This window comes from Homo sapiens, chromosome 17, assembly GCF_000001405.40.
Source record: "Homo sapiens chromosome 17, GRCh38.p14 Primary Assembly".
In the NCBI taxonomy this organism is placed as follows: Eukaryota; Metazoa; Chordata; class Mammalia; order Primates; family Hominidae; genus Homo; species Homo sapiens.
The window spans coordinates 4,207,401-4,220,617 of NC_000017.11; the positions used below are offsets into that span (position 1 = coordinate 4,207,401).

At 43.1% G+C, this 13,217-nt stretch overlaps 1 protein-coding gene across 9 annotated transcripts in view; it reads right to left on the bottom strand.

Annotated features, from left to right (window-relative positions):
* The window catches only part of ANKFY1 (ankyrin repeat and FYVE domain containing 1), a 100,159-nt gene that overhangs the window by 43,580 nt on the left and 43,362 nt on the right, over positions 1-13,217 (bottom strand). For all 9 annotated transcript variants that reach the window (NR_047571.3, NM_001330063.2, NM_016376.5 and 6 more), the window contains 3 exons: positions 9,583-9,718; positions 2,424-2,547; positions 533-682 (listed from right to left, as the gene is read on the bottom strand). Coding sequence is in view for 8 of the 9 variants with exons in the window: in NM_001330063.2 (NP_001316992.1) it covers positions 533-682; positions 2,424-2,547; positions 9,583-9,718 (410 nt within the window). In the remaining variant the exon portion in view is untranslated. The remainder of the gene's footprint in view (positions 1-532; positions 683-2,423; positions 2,548-9,582; positions 9,719-13,217) is intronic.

Consider the following 13,217-nt stretch of genomic DNA (forward strand, 5'->3'; position numbering starts at 1 on the left):
ACAGCCAGCAAGAAAATGGGGACCTCGATCCTGTAAGTGCAAGAATCTGAATTCTGCCAAAGATCCAAATAAGCAGGAAATGGATTCTCCTCTTGAGTCTCTGGAAAGAAGCACAGCCTGCCGACATCCTGATTTTGGGCCAGTGATTCCTGTCCTAGACTTCCAACCTACAAAACTGTAAGGCAATACATTTGTGTTGTTTTAAGCCATTAAGTTTATGGTAATTTATTATAGCAGCAAAAGTAAACTAACACAGATTTTGGCACCTAAAAGTTAAGAAGCGTTTAAAAAAAAAAAAAAACTACCTAAAAGCATTTAAGAGGTTTTTAAATTGGGCAATGGGCTAAGGCTGGAAGAATTTTGAGAAACATGTTAGAAAAAGCTCAGATTGCCTTGAACAAACTATTTAGTAGAAATCCGTACGTTAAAGACTGTGCCAGTCATGGCTCGGAAGGAAGTGAGAAGTACCACGGAGAAAGACAAGTGCATTAGAGTTTCGGGAAATGAAGAATGGAAAAGGCAGCTACAGTACCTGGGAATCCATTTCAATCAGATACAGGAAGACCACGTCTTCTCTCTCCACTTTGATGGCTTTATGTAGCGGGTACTCTGTCTTGGATTTGATCATTTTGTATAACAACTGAGCGCTCATGCTGCTGAAATCCTCCTTCCTCAGGTCGTCCTGAGAATTCACAACACAGTGAAAAGCAGAACAGACACAAGGCAATGAATCCAACCACCATTTAGCAAGCCTCTCAAATGCATCAGTCAGGCCCTTCTTTAAGGGCTTAACCTTTCCCAACTCATTTATTTCTCCCCAAAACCCAATGAAGTAAGTACTTGAACATCCCCATTTTACAGAAGAAAATATTATGGCATAAAGAGATTAGATAACTTGCTCAAGTTCAGACAGTCCTTAAATGGCTGGGGAACCAGAAGGCTGACGTTCCGAGCCTCACTCTCCTCCAGCATTACTGTGCCTCCCAGTGAGGTGGCAAAACACCAGCCATGCATACCTCTAACAGGAATGCGCCCCAAGGGAGCCTCACATGAGAGCAGGGAGTCCTCCTCCCACCCCCTGAAAGATGGCAGTTACAAAATCAATTCCAACTTCCACAAACAAGTCACTCCACTGAGTCGCAGCTGGTCCCTATTATTGCAGATCTCTATATTTCTGCCTATTTTAAAAGAAAGGTTACCAATCCTGTTTCAATGCCTTAAAATCCAGTTCTTTAGCCGCCTTTTCTGAAACTCTAAGGCTTTTCCCACAGTGTTGTTGAATACCAAACAATTCGCAGAAACTAATTTGCAAAAGGTAGCACCAGCCCTAATATTCTAAAACTGCAAACAACAACAACAAAATGTAAACACTGGCCGGGCGCAGTGGCTCACGCCTGTACTCCCAGCACTTTGGGAGGCCGAGGTGGGCGGATCGATCACCTGAGGTTGGGAGTTTGAGACCAGCCTGACCAACGTGGAGAAACCCCCGTCTCTACTAAAAATACAAAATTAGCCAGGCGTGGTGCTGCATGCCGGTAATCCCAGCTACTCAGGAGGCCAAGGCAGGAGAATCGCTTGAACCTGGGAGGCGGAGGTTGCAGGGAGCTGAGACCGTGCCATTGCACTCCAGCCTGGGCAACAAGAGCGAAACTCAGTCTCAAAAAAAAAAAAATGTAAACACTGTTCTTTATGATGAAACAACCTAAGAAAGGGAAATCTAAACTGAAAGATGCTCTCCGCCTGATTAGGAGAGCAAGGGCAAGCTCTGAAACTGTGCTGCTGAAGCTGCAGGGCCTGCTGGCCGTGGAGCCACACCCTACTCCTGCAGCTCAGCAGCAGCTTCCACAGATGGAGGGTGAAGGCAGGTGATGCTTCCAAGCCTGTTTCTGGACCTCAGCTATCTTTTTTGGGGGGGCGGGAGACGGAGTCTCGCTCTGTCACCCAGGCTGGAGTGCAGTGGCGCGATCTCAGTTCACCGCAACCTCCGCCTCCCGGGTTTACGTGATTCTCCTGCCACAGTCTCCTGAGTAGCTGGGACTACAGGCACGCACCACTGAGCCCAGCTAATTTTTGTATTTTTAGTAGAGATGGGGTTTCACCATGTTGGCCAGGCTGGTCTCGAACTCCTGACCTCAAGTGGTCTGCCCGCCTGGGCCTCCCAAAGTGCTGGAATTGCAGGCGTGAGCCACCGCGCCTGGCCAGACCTGAGCTATCTTTTGTCCTTTGGCTCCGAAATCACAGAACTACCAGAATTTGAGTTGAAAAGAGTCTCATAGATCATCTAATCAAACTATTTATTCTTCAATTGTGTAACAAGAGAAAACCAGGTGCCAGAGAGGTCACTTTCCATGGAACTACGTCCCCAGCGGCGGTCTCCTGACTGCCAGCTAGAGTGCTTTGTTGACACCCTCAACCTCACTCACCCAATGACTTGCAATAATTTCTGCACAGTAGTTCATCAGTGTGCTGGCATTCAGCTCCTCTGCCGTCTGGTAGAAGCGAATACAGTTCCTGACATTCACTAGAGACATAACACCCTTCTCACATCTGTAAGAGAGTATTCATCATGAGGAGTATTACTGGACAAATAATTCACAAACGAACAAACCAAAGCGATCATCTTTGTACTGGCTGGCTATGTCCTATTAATAACACTATGGGATAAGGTTAAGCAAAGGGTTATGAATAAATTACAGTTGGTCTCCCATATTTAAAAAGTACTAGAATTTCATTATAATATTTCATTGCTCCATTCTGGTCAGAATCAAAATAACATGCAAATAAACTGATTAAGCATAATACCCCAACTGCCTTAACAGCACACATACGACACCCGCTGATCACACAGACAGGTAATTGTCGAATCAAGCACAAAATGGATCAACCTCTGTCCTTCAAAGAAAATTTAACTGTGTGGAACACCACTTTAGTTCCCACAACTGCATGATGCAAACAGTGTGTCTTAGAAATAGTTTCAAATACGAGGCTCTATGCTCAATAATTAACACCTCCTTAAAAGCTCTCCCGGCTGGGTGCAGTGGCTCACGCCTGTAATCCCAGCGCTTTGGGAGGCCGAGGTGGGTGGATCACCTGAGGTCGGGAGTTCGAGACCAGCCTGACCAACATGGAGGAACCCCATCTCTACTAAAAATACAAAATTAGCCGGCTGTGGTGGCGCATGCCTGTAATCCAAGCTACTCGGGAGGCTGAGGCAGGAGAATCGCTTGAACCCAGGAGGCGGAGGTTGCAGTGAGCTGAGATCGTGCCATTGCACTCCGGCCTGGGCGACAAAGGCAAAACTCTGTCGCAAAAAAAAAAAAAAAAAAAAAAAAGCTCTCCTATAAGATGAATGTGTATGATATGTGAATTATAACTCAATAAAGCTGTATTTTAAAAGCCCCACCTAGGATCTACTGAGGTCAGGAGCTCGAGACCAGCCTTACCAACAAGGTGAAACCCTGTCTCTACTAAAAATACAAAAATTAGCCGGGCATGGTGGCAGGCGCCTGTAGTCCCAGCTACTCAGGAGGCTGAGACAGGAGAATTGCTTGAACCCAGGAGGCGGAGATTGCAGTGAGCCGAGATTACGCCACTGCACTCCAGCCTGGGCAGCGGAGTGAGACTCCATCAACAACAACAACAAAAAAAATAAAAAGAAAAAAAGAAAAAAGAAAAAACTCACCTAAAATATCTATAATGTTTTGAAAAAAACAGCCAAATCAGCCAGGTGTGGTGGCTCACACCTATAATCCTAGCTCTTTCAGAAGCCAAGGCGGGCAGATTGCCTGAGCTCAGGAGGTCGTGACCAGCCTGGGCAACATAGCGAAACCCCGTCTTTACTACAAATACAAAAACAAATTAGCTGGGCTGCCTGTAGTCCCAGATACTGGGGAGGCTGAGGCACAAGAATCACGTGAACCCGGGAGGCAGAGGTTGCAGTGAGCTGAGACGGTGCCACTGCACTCAAGCCTGGGTGACAGAGCAAGACTCGTCTCAAAAAAAAAAAAAAATTAGAAAAAATAGCCAAATCATAGTACACCCCCCACACCAAAAAAATCAGATTTCTACTGTAACAACAAAACCACAGTACACCAAAATAGAGAAAAACTGGCTACAATGGATGTCCTCATAAAGCCGCATAATAATAAAAACAAGACTCTTTCAGAATCATTAATAAGGAAACACGGCCAGGTGCAAAGGCTCACACCTGTAATCCCAGCACTCTGGGAGGCCAAGGCAGGAGGAGTACTTGTGGCCACGAGTTCAAGACCAGCCTGGGCAACACAGCAAGACCCTGTCTCTACCAAAACAATTGAGAAATTAGGCAGGCATGGTAGCATGTGCCTGTAGTCCCAGCTACTCAGGAGGCTGAAGTAAGAGCCCAGGAGTTCAAGGCTGCGGTAAGAGCCCAGGAGTTCAAGGCTGCGGTGAACCGTGATCGCACCACTGTACGCCTGCCTAGATGACAGACAGAGACTCTGTCTCAAAAAAAAAACAAAACAAAAACAAACAAACAAACAAACAAAAAACATCAACTACATCAGAGAAGAGAGAGCTGAAGGCAGGCAAATAGGTCTCTGGTAGCAAAAGCAGGACCACATTGTAGTCTGGAAGATATGGCATTGGAAAGACCACACTTCCTCTATGCCAGAATTCCTGGAAGCCTTAGGGAGTCTCCCATGAGACCAGGCCCATGGGGAAAAGGTGGCCAGGGAACAGCCCTTCACCTCCCTCGCCTCCACTGCTCCCTCCAAATCAGGTTCACCTCCAAGGGCAGTCACAGACGACTAGTATGGTTTCACGAGATTTCCTGACATCCACCATTGTTTTCCCTGCCAGCAGCCTCCACCAAAACTCTTTTCTAACCACAAAGGCAGAATGTGGTGGACAGAGCAAGATAAACAATGAGGTAAAAAAGACCTGAGTGGAGACCCATTACATTTTAGGGGCCAAATTACTTGAGCTCTCTGTGCCCCTCTCTCCTCCTCTATAAAATAAAGATGTTACTCTACTTCAGATATTTGAGGAATACTTGTGTGTTTGTCAAGATGGAGGAGAACTAGTTACACTCAGCACAGCTTGAGGTATGTAGTAAATATGCTCGGAAGTTTGAGGTCCCTCTACTAGCCGTTCTCGTCTCTAAAACCTGAAATTCCTTTACTAAGGAAAAATCACAAAAGGAAATCACTTAATTTTAATAATCCACATTAGTGGATTTCAGTACTGTTAACCATAACTAGCTAGCAGATAATTCCCAATCTTAACAGATGGGCTTTAGGTAACAGACGTAGAAAAAGACCATGGGAATGGGTGATGGCAGAAGAAAGAAGGAAGGTCATGAGAAAGACCTGGGCAGAATGCAGAACACACTTTTTTTTTTTTTTTTTTTGAGACGGAGTCTACCTTTGTCGCCAGGCTGGAGTGCAGTGACATGATCTTGGCTCACTGCAACCTCCGCCTCCCAGGTTCAAGCGATTCTCCTGCCTCAGCCTCCAGAATAGCTGGGATTACAGGCATGTGCCGCCACACCCAGCTAATTTTTGTATTTTTTTTTTTAGTAGAGACGGGGTTTCCCCATGTTAGCCAGGATGGTCTCGATCTTCTGACCTCATGACCCGCCCGCCTCAGCCTCCCAAAGTGCTGGGATTACAGGCGTGAGCCACCGCACCCCACCTCACAACACACTTTCAAAACATCACGAAGGAGAGGCTAGGAGCAAGAATAAAATCTTGGAGTCATTTCTCTGTTTAGCAGTAAATGCAGGCACCTGCTTTACACTAAGATCTGTCAAAGCTTTGGGTTTTTTTTGAGACAGAGTGTGCTCTGTCGCCCAGGCTGGAGTGCAGTGGCATGATCTCGGCTCACTGCAACCTCCGCCTCCTGGGTTCAAGTGATTCTCCTGCCTCAGCCTCCAGAGTAGCTGGGATTATAGGCGCCCGCCACCACGACCGGCTAATTTTTGTATTATTAGTAGGGACGGGGTTTCACCATGGCAGACTGGGTGCTTTGTTTTTAATTAACATTACTGACTTGGTGTAAGGAAGCATCTCTCCCAGGGCACTTTAAAAATCATGTTGTTACAATATCTAAGTAAGTTACATTAGTAAGTTAAGTTACAATAATAAACAAGAATGTAAGTTACATACAACAGCATTATATTTATTTCTTTTTTTTTTTTTTTTCCAAGATGAAGTCTTACTTTGTCGCCCAGGCTGGAGTGCAGTGGTACGATCTCGGCTCACTGCAACCTCCGCCTCCCAGGTTCATGCGATTCTCCTGTCTCCTGCCTCTGCCTCCCGTGTAGCTGGGACTAAAAGCGCCTGCCACCACGCCCAGCTAATTTTTTGTATTTTTAGTAGAGATGAGGTTTCACCATGTTAGCCAGGATGGTCTCGATCTCCTGACTTCGGGATCCACCCACCTCGGCCTCCCAAAGTGCTGGGATTACAGGTGTGAGCCATCACACCCAGTCAACAGCATTATATTTCTAAGCCTCAGTTTTCTGTACCATTGGTTTCTCCAAACCTGTAGCACACCACAGCAATGTCTGACAAAGTCACTCTAACCTCAGCCATGAAATCAGAGCATTCCAGCAGAAAAAAACCTCTTTTCAGATAGCTTTCAGAAGCTTTTACCATTTTTACAACTAATATTCAATCTGCCTTCCTAACATCCTAACACCAGGCAGCCTAATACACAGTATGATCTCAGGAAGTAATAACTCACATTTGCAGAGCACTTTACAAAGCACCTTTACAGCATTTGCTGAGAACCTGAAAATTCCACTCTCCTCCTTTTCACTGTCAAATGACATTGCACCAAGGGACTCAAATATGTTTCACGAAAGCAGATCTTTTATTAAAGCTGGCAGACATTTCACTGTCACCAATTCTAGGATCTCCAGAGTGCCATTTGCCATTTGGATAGATTATAAATAGTAACTGACATGATTTACGCAACCAAGGAACACGTAATCTTATTTAGAAATTAAGATTCTCGGTTCCTATATTCTCTTTGAAAATAGCAAGACAGACAGACTTTCACCCGAAGGGAATTTTTTAATTATTATTTTTAACTTTAGAGTACAGAAAGGACACAGAGATACAAAAACGATAAACCTAACTTTTTTTTTTTTTTTTTTTGAGATGGACTTTCACTCATATTGCCCAGGCTGGAGCAACAAGGCTCAATCCAGGCTCACCACAACCTCCACCTCCCAGGTTCAAGCGATTCTCCTGCCTCAGCCTCCTGAGTAGCTGGGATTACAGGTGCCCGCCACCACGCCTGGCTAATTTTTTTGTATTTTTAGTAGAGACTGGGTTTCACCATGTTGGTGACTTTTAAAGTATAACATCAAGCATATATTTAAACGTCCCACAAACTGCTGTATAGTTTTCATATCACTCTTGAGTGGATGTGGGAAAAAAAAATTATTGAAAAGAAAAATGACAGAAGGTAAACAATGATTTAGTTACAAATGACTTTTTTCTTTATATCATTCTGTATCCTCCAAATATCATACACCGAACATGTATTATACTTTTGTAAGGAGAAAAAGATTAACTGTCTTTTTTTAGTATACATTAATTATCTCTTTAAAAAGATTAGCCAGGCACGGTAGGTCACGCCTGTAATCCCAGCACTTTGGGAGGCTGAGGCGGGCGGATCACCTGAGGCTAGGAGTTTGAGACTAACCTGGCCAACATGGCAAAACCCCGTCTCTACTAAAAATACAAAAATTAGCTGGGCGTGGTGGCAGTCGTCTGTAATCCCAGCTACTCAGGAGGCTGAGGCAGGAGAATCGCTTGAATCGGGAGGCGGAGGTTGCAGTGAGCCAAGACTGTGCCATTGCACTCCAGCCAGGGTGACACAGTGAGGCTGTCTTCTAAAAAAAAAAAAAAAAAATTAAGAGTATTTTCTTCAGTGTGCCCTCCGTGGTAGAAAAAAAAAGAAAAGATTTTCCTGATGCTTACTATAAAAACTTCCTTTTCATCAAATCAGTGCTAGCATTCCAAAACCGGCGAGATCCCCACATTACAAAAAGAGCAACGGCTGCTTCACACTGAACCGCACCCGTCGCTAGCACCCTTTCATTATCTCAAGCATGTAATTCCTTCCAAGGACAGCAGGGGGCACTCTGTGACCCTTTAAAAGCCAACCCTTGACTCCACTCCCGGTGTCTTCCACTCCAGCTCTTAAGAAAGCCATGACAGATAATAACTCGATACTCATATCTAACAATACAAAATTAAGCATCTGGTAATGTTGACAGTTATGAAGCCTACTCGGTCAACAAACAACAAACAGTTTAATTAAAGAATCCATTACACAGATTACAATTATCTCAACTACTCCAACCCCAAGACATTTTTACAAAAGCAATTTAATTTACATAAGCAAGTCTGACAAGGTCAACAGGAGAAAGCTCAGGAAGTCTGGAAAACATATAAAGACATAAATCATACTCAATCTAATTAAAATCAGTCTGATTTCACTATCACCAAAACTCCTCACCAAAACAAACAAACAAACAAATGAAAGAAACAGTTAACTGAATGTCCTCAATAATCAAATCAGCTTTGCTAATAGCCTAATGCTGTATGCACCTATAGACTGTGGACCTGCTTTTGTTTTTTATTTATAGGATTTAGATATTAAAATGCACTCAAACCCACATCAATAACAGACAGGAGTAAGCCGTCCACTGATTTCATGTGGGGCACAGTGAGCCCTCCTGGGAAAACACCAGCCCATGACGAAAACAGCAAGCAGCTCTAGGCAGCAAAGTCTCTCTAGGGAAAACACAGCAATAGGTGGAGTGCCTCCTGATGACTGAAACCATCCCTTCACTCACCCAGGAGAAAAGCCATTACTTTATGCACCCAAGGGAATACAAAGATCACTAAATGCTGTAAAAAGCCACTCCATCAGCAAGCTGATTACCAAGAGCCACAGCTCCAATAGAAAGACGCTCCCGGACATCTCGTCTGACATTATTTAGTGAACGTTTTGTTTTCTGTTGTTCTAAAATGCCAACTTGGGAGAGCAACAGAGAAAATGTAATATAAAAACACAGCATGCTATCTCCTTGACAACCTAAAATGCAGTAACTTAAATGAAGTGAGATCTCTGGAACACTGGCTATGACACTTATTTGGACAATATTTTCACATATTCATTTAGGCACTCATTGTTTCCAACAAAGAGACTATGACTAAGGATTTCATTCAACTTGATATATCAGAAAATAGAGTAAAATGTCAAGGGAAACAGAAAGGGAAGGAAAGCTGAAAGTTTGGACATTGGATTATATTATTTCATATTTAATTTTTCAGTTTATACGATTATGTAATTTCAGGTAACAGACCAGTGAAAGAAAAGAGAATAGCAAAAGCTTTAGCAAAATTTAGCTACAAGATAACACAAAGCAAGGGAGGTAACATCTGTCCCCAGCATCGCCTTTAAAGGAACACCTTGCCAAGTTATTTACATTAGCAGAAGAAGCTGTTTTCCCAGAGCTCGGCATAATTAAAGCTCAGCCACCACCATCTGAGGTGCTTGAATATATCTGCTGTGACTTGCCTCTCCCTGAGGAGCTGTAGCTGAAACCGATTTGCTAGTTTCATCAGTTCAGTCAGGAACACATCATCCTCTCTGAACTCCAGCTCATCTGTATAGATCCAGCGAAGCATTGTCATCGTCACCTCAGGATTAGCATCTGGTTAAAGAAAGAGAGAACAACTGAAAAAGCATAGAATGACATGCTTAGACTTTCTCAAGGGATCCCTAAAATTTGAGGCTAATAAAGTAAATGACAGTATACCCAACTTAAAGGAATATTACACAGTCATTAAAAATGGGGACTCGGCCGGGTGCAGTGGCTCACGCCTGTAATCCCAGCACTTTGGGAGGCTGAGGCGGGCAGATCACGAAGTCAGGAGTTCGAGACCAGCCTGACCAACATGCTGAAACCCCATGTCTACTAAAAATACAAAAAAAATTAGCCGGGCCTGGTGGCGTGCACCTGTAATCCCAGCTACTCGGGCTGAGGCAGGAGAATCGCTTGAACCCGGGAGACGGAGGTTGCAGTGAGCAGAGATTGAGCCACTGCACTCCAGCCTGGGTGACAGAGGGAGACTCCGTCTCAAAAAAAAGGTGACTCAGCAGTCTGGGCAACATCTGACTAAACTTTCGCAGTGGGCAGTGAGTGAGGAAATAAACCTACTAAAGATATGTCGAATAAATTGGGGAAAATATTTGAAACATATGACAAAGAATTAACATTATTTTTTTTTTCTTTTTGAGACAGGGTCTCACTACGTCACCCAGGCTGGAATGCAGTGGCACAATCATGCCTCACTGAAGCCTCGAACTCCCTGGGCTCAAGTGGTCCTTACACCTCAGCCTCCCGAGTAGCTGGGACCGCAGGTGCATGCTAGCATACCAGGTTAATTTTTGTATTTTTTGCAGAGACGGTTTCACCATGTTGCCCAGGCTGGTCTCGAAATCCTGGGCTCAAAGAATCCAACTGCCTCGGCCTCCTAAAGCATTAGGATTACAGGCGTGAGCCGCTTCACCCAGCCTGAGTTAACATTCTTTATGATAAAAAGACCTTACAAATAAAAATAAAAAGACGGATACCCAATGGAAAAATGGGCAATGGATACAAATAGGTAATTCACAAAGATAAATAATGGCTAGTAAACCTTACTGATAACCAAATACAAACTGAAATCAGAGTACATTTTTTTATCTCTCAGACTAGCAAAGATTTTTTAAAGAACATAACCTTTCACACAGCAACTACATATGTAGACATTATCCAAAGAAAATAACTGGACAGATAAAGAAAAATGTACTAAGATGCTCAGCACAATATTATTAATGAAGAACTAGAACAAAAATCGTAAGAGTCCAACAATGGAGAACTAATTAAATAAATTACAATATACATACACACTGAACAAATGCAATGAAAACTAGATAGATATATATTCAACATAAGATATTTACTACATAGGCTTTTTGAAAAGTAGGCTAAAAATACTTGTATAAGATCTCATTGGCTGGGTACAGTGGCTCACGCCTGTAATCTCAATGCTTTGGGAGGCCAAGGTGGGCGGATGGCTTGAGCCCAGGAATTCAAGACCAGTGTGAGCAACATGGTGAAACCCTCTGTCTTTACAAAAATTCAAAAATTACACCAAAATCTCAGAAATCACCACTAAAGAACTTAGCCATGTAACCAAACACTGCCTGTTCCCCAAAAACTACAGAAGAAAAAAATTAAACAAAATAAAACCAAAAAATATAAAAATTAGCTGGGCACATGCCATTAGTGGCGGCATGTGTCTGTAGTCCCAGCTACTCAAGGGGCCAATGTGGGAAGAGAAATTGAGCCGGGAGGTTGAGGCAGTACTGAGCCGTGACTGCACCACTGCACTCCAGCATGGGTGGCAGAGCAAGACCCTGTCTCAAAAAGAAAAAGAAAAAAAAATAGGTCTTGCTTTTTGTTAAGATACACCTGTGTGTGTATGCATGCATACATATATATATAATACCTACACACACTACACACTACACACATAGAGAGGCAGACACACATTTTTCTGTGTCTGTCTCTCAAGAGATTGGAAGGATATATACTAAAATATCAACCCAGGTGGAATTTATAACTAATTTTTCTTTTAGCTTAATTTTACTTTTAGCTTTATTTTTATTTAAGGAACATGCATTATTTGTGCAATCTTTTTAAGTTAAAATAAAGACTGTACAGCAACTTGGGGAAATGCTTGGGATGAGAATCATAGTATAAAATATCTAAACTATTATTTCAACCAGAGTTAACTCTTGATTAGTCAGAATAAGAAGAGTGATGGTCAGAGGAATACTTAAAATCATGGTCAACGCAAGTAATTCTCACGGTGTTGTCCTGGGCCAGGAGATTCAGCCTCATCTGATAACTGATTGGAAATCTGATTCTCTGTCCTACCCCAGACCTGCTGAATGAGAAACCAGAGATGGGGCCCAGCACATGTCCTAACAAGTCCTCTATGTGATTCTGATGCTCACTAAGGTTTCAGAAACCGTACTTGATTCTTGATTACCTAGGAAAGGTGCAACAAGGACCAGGAACACCTTATTAACTTCATAATTAGGAATTGGCTCATTAGCTCTGATTACTCTCCTTTCCAACTAGAGTGGGAAGGAGCAGCTTGAAGGGGGCAATGTCAAGTGAGTGGACTTGAAGACCCCGACTTACCTGCAACCAGGTTAATTCACCATCTCCTAAAACAACCAGATATTAAAAGTAAAAAAAAAAGAAAAAGAAAAAGAAAAAGTGAAATACACTAAAATGATAATATTGTAGTTACTATGTTAAAGTTTTTCTTTTTTCTCTCACTGAATAATATAGTAATAGCACCTTTTCTTTTTTTTGAGACAGAGTTTTGCTCTTGTCACCCAGGCTGGAGTGCAGTGGCGCGATCTGAGCTCACTGCAACCTCTGCCTCCCGGGTTCAAGAGATTCTCCTGCCTCAGACTCCCAACGTAGCTGGGATTACATGTGCCTGCTGCCATGCCCAGCTAATTTTTTTGTATTTTTAGTTGAGATGGGGTTTCACCATGTTAGCCAGACTGGTCTTGAACTCCTAACCTCAGGTGATCCACCTGCTTCGGCCTCCCAAAGTGCTGGGATTACAGGCGTGAGCCACCCTGCCCGGCCAGTAGTAGCACTTTTAAAATGTTTTAAAAGAGAAAACATTTTAACACCAGACAGAAAACTAATTAGATTTATTTAAACAACCTAGGTGCTTCAGCTAAGCTGTCTAAGATCACCATAGTAGATCTTGGAAGTAGGCCAAATTTCTAAGCAGGCTTTGTAAATTGGGTTCAATACCTCAGTAGTCATCGTAATGAACAACAAAAAAAATGTAGGCCATGTGATTTGTCCACAGCAACCAAAAATCCCAAAACACATCCTACTAGACTCACATGGCCTGATCTTGAAGACAGCTCGTTCCTATCTGCTGAGAGAATCCCCAGCACCAACACCCTCAAACACCTTCCCTACAGTAGCAGTTTCTTAAATACTATTTGCAAACTTGCCCGGTTAATCTTGACCTGTACAAGTAATAAACAAAAACCTAGATTATCAAAAAACTTTTTTAAACTACTTTCAGTAGGGATTTCCTGGGAGGGCTTGATATTTCAAACAA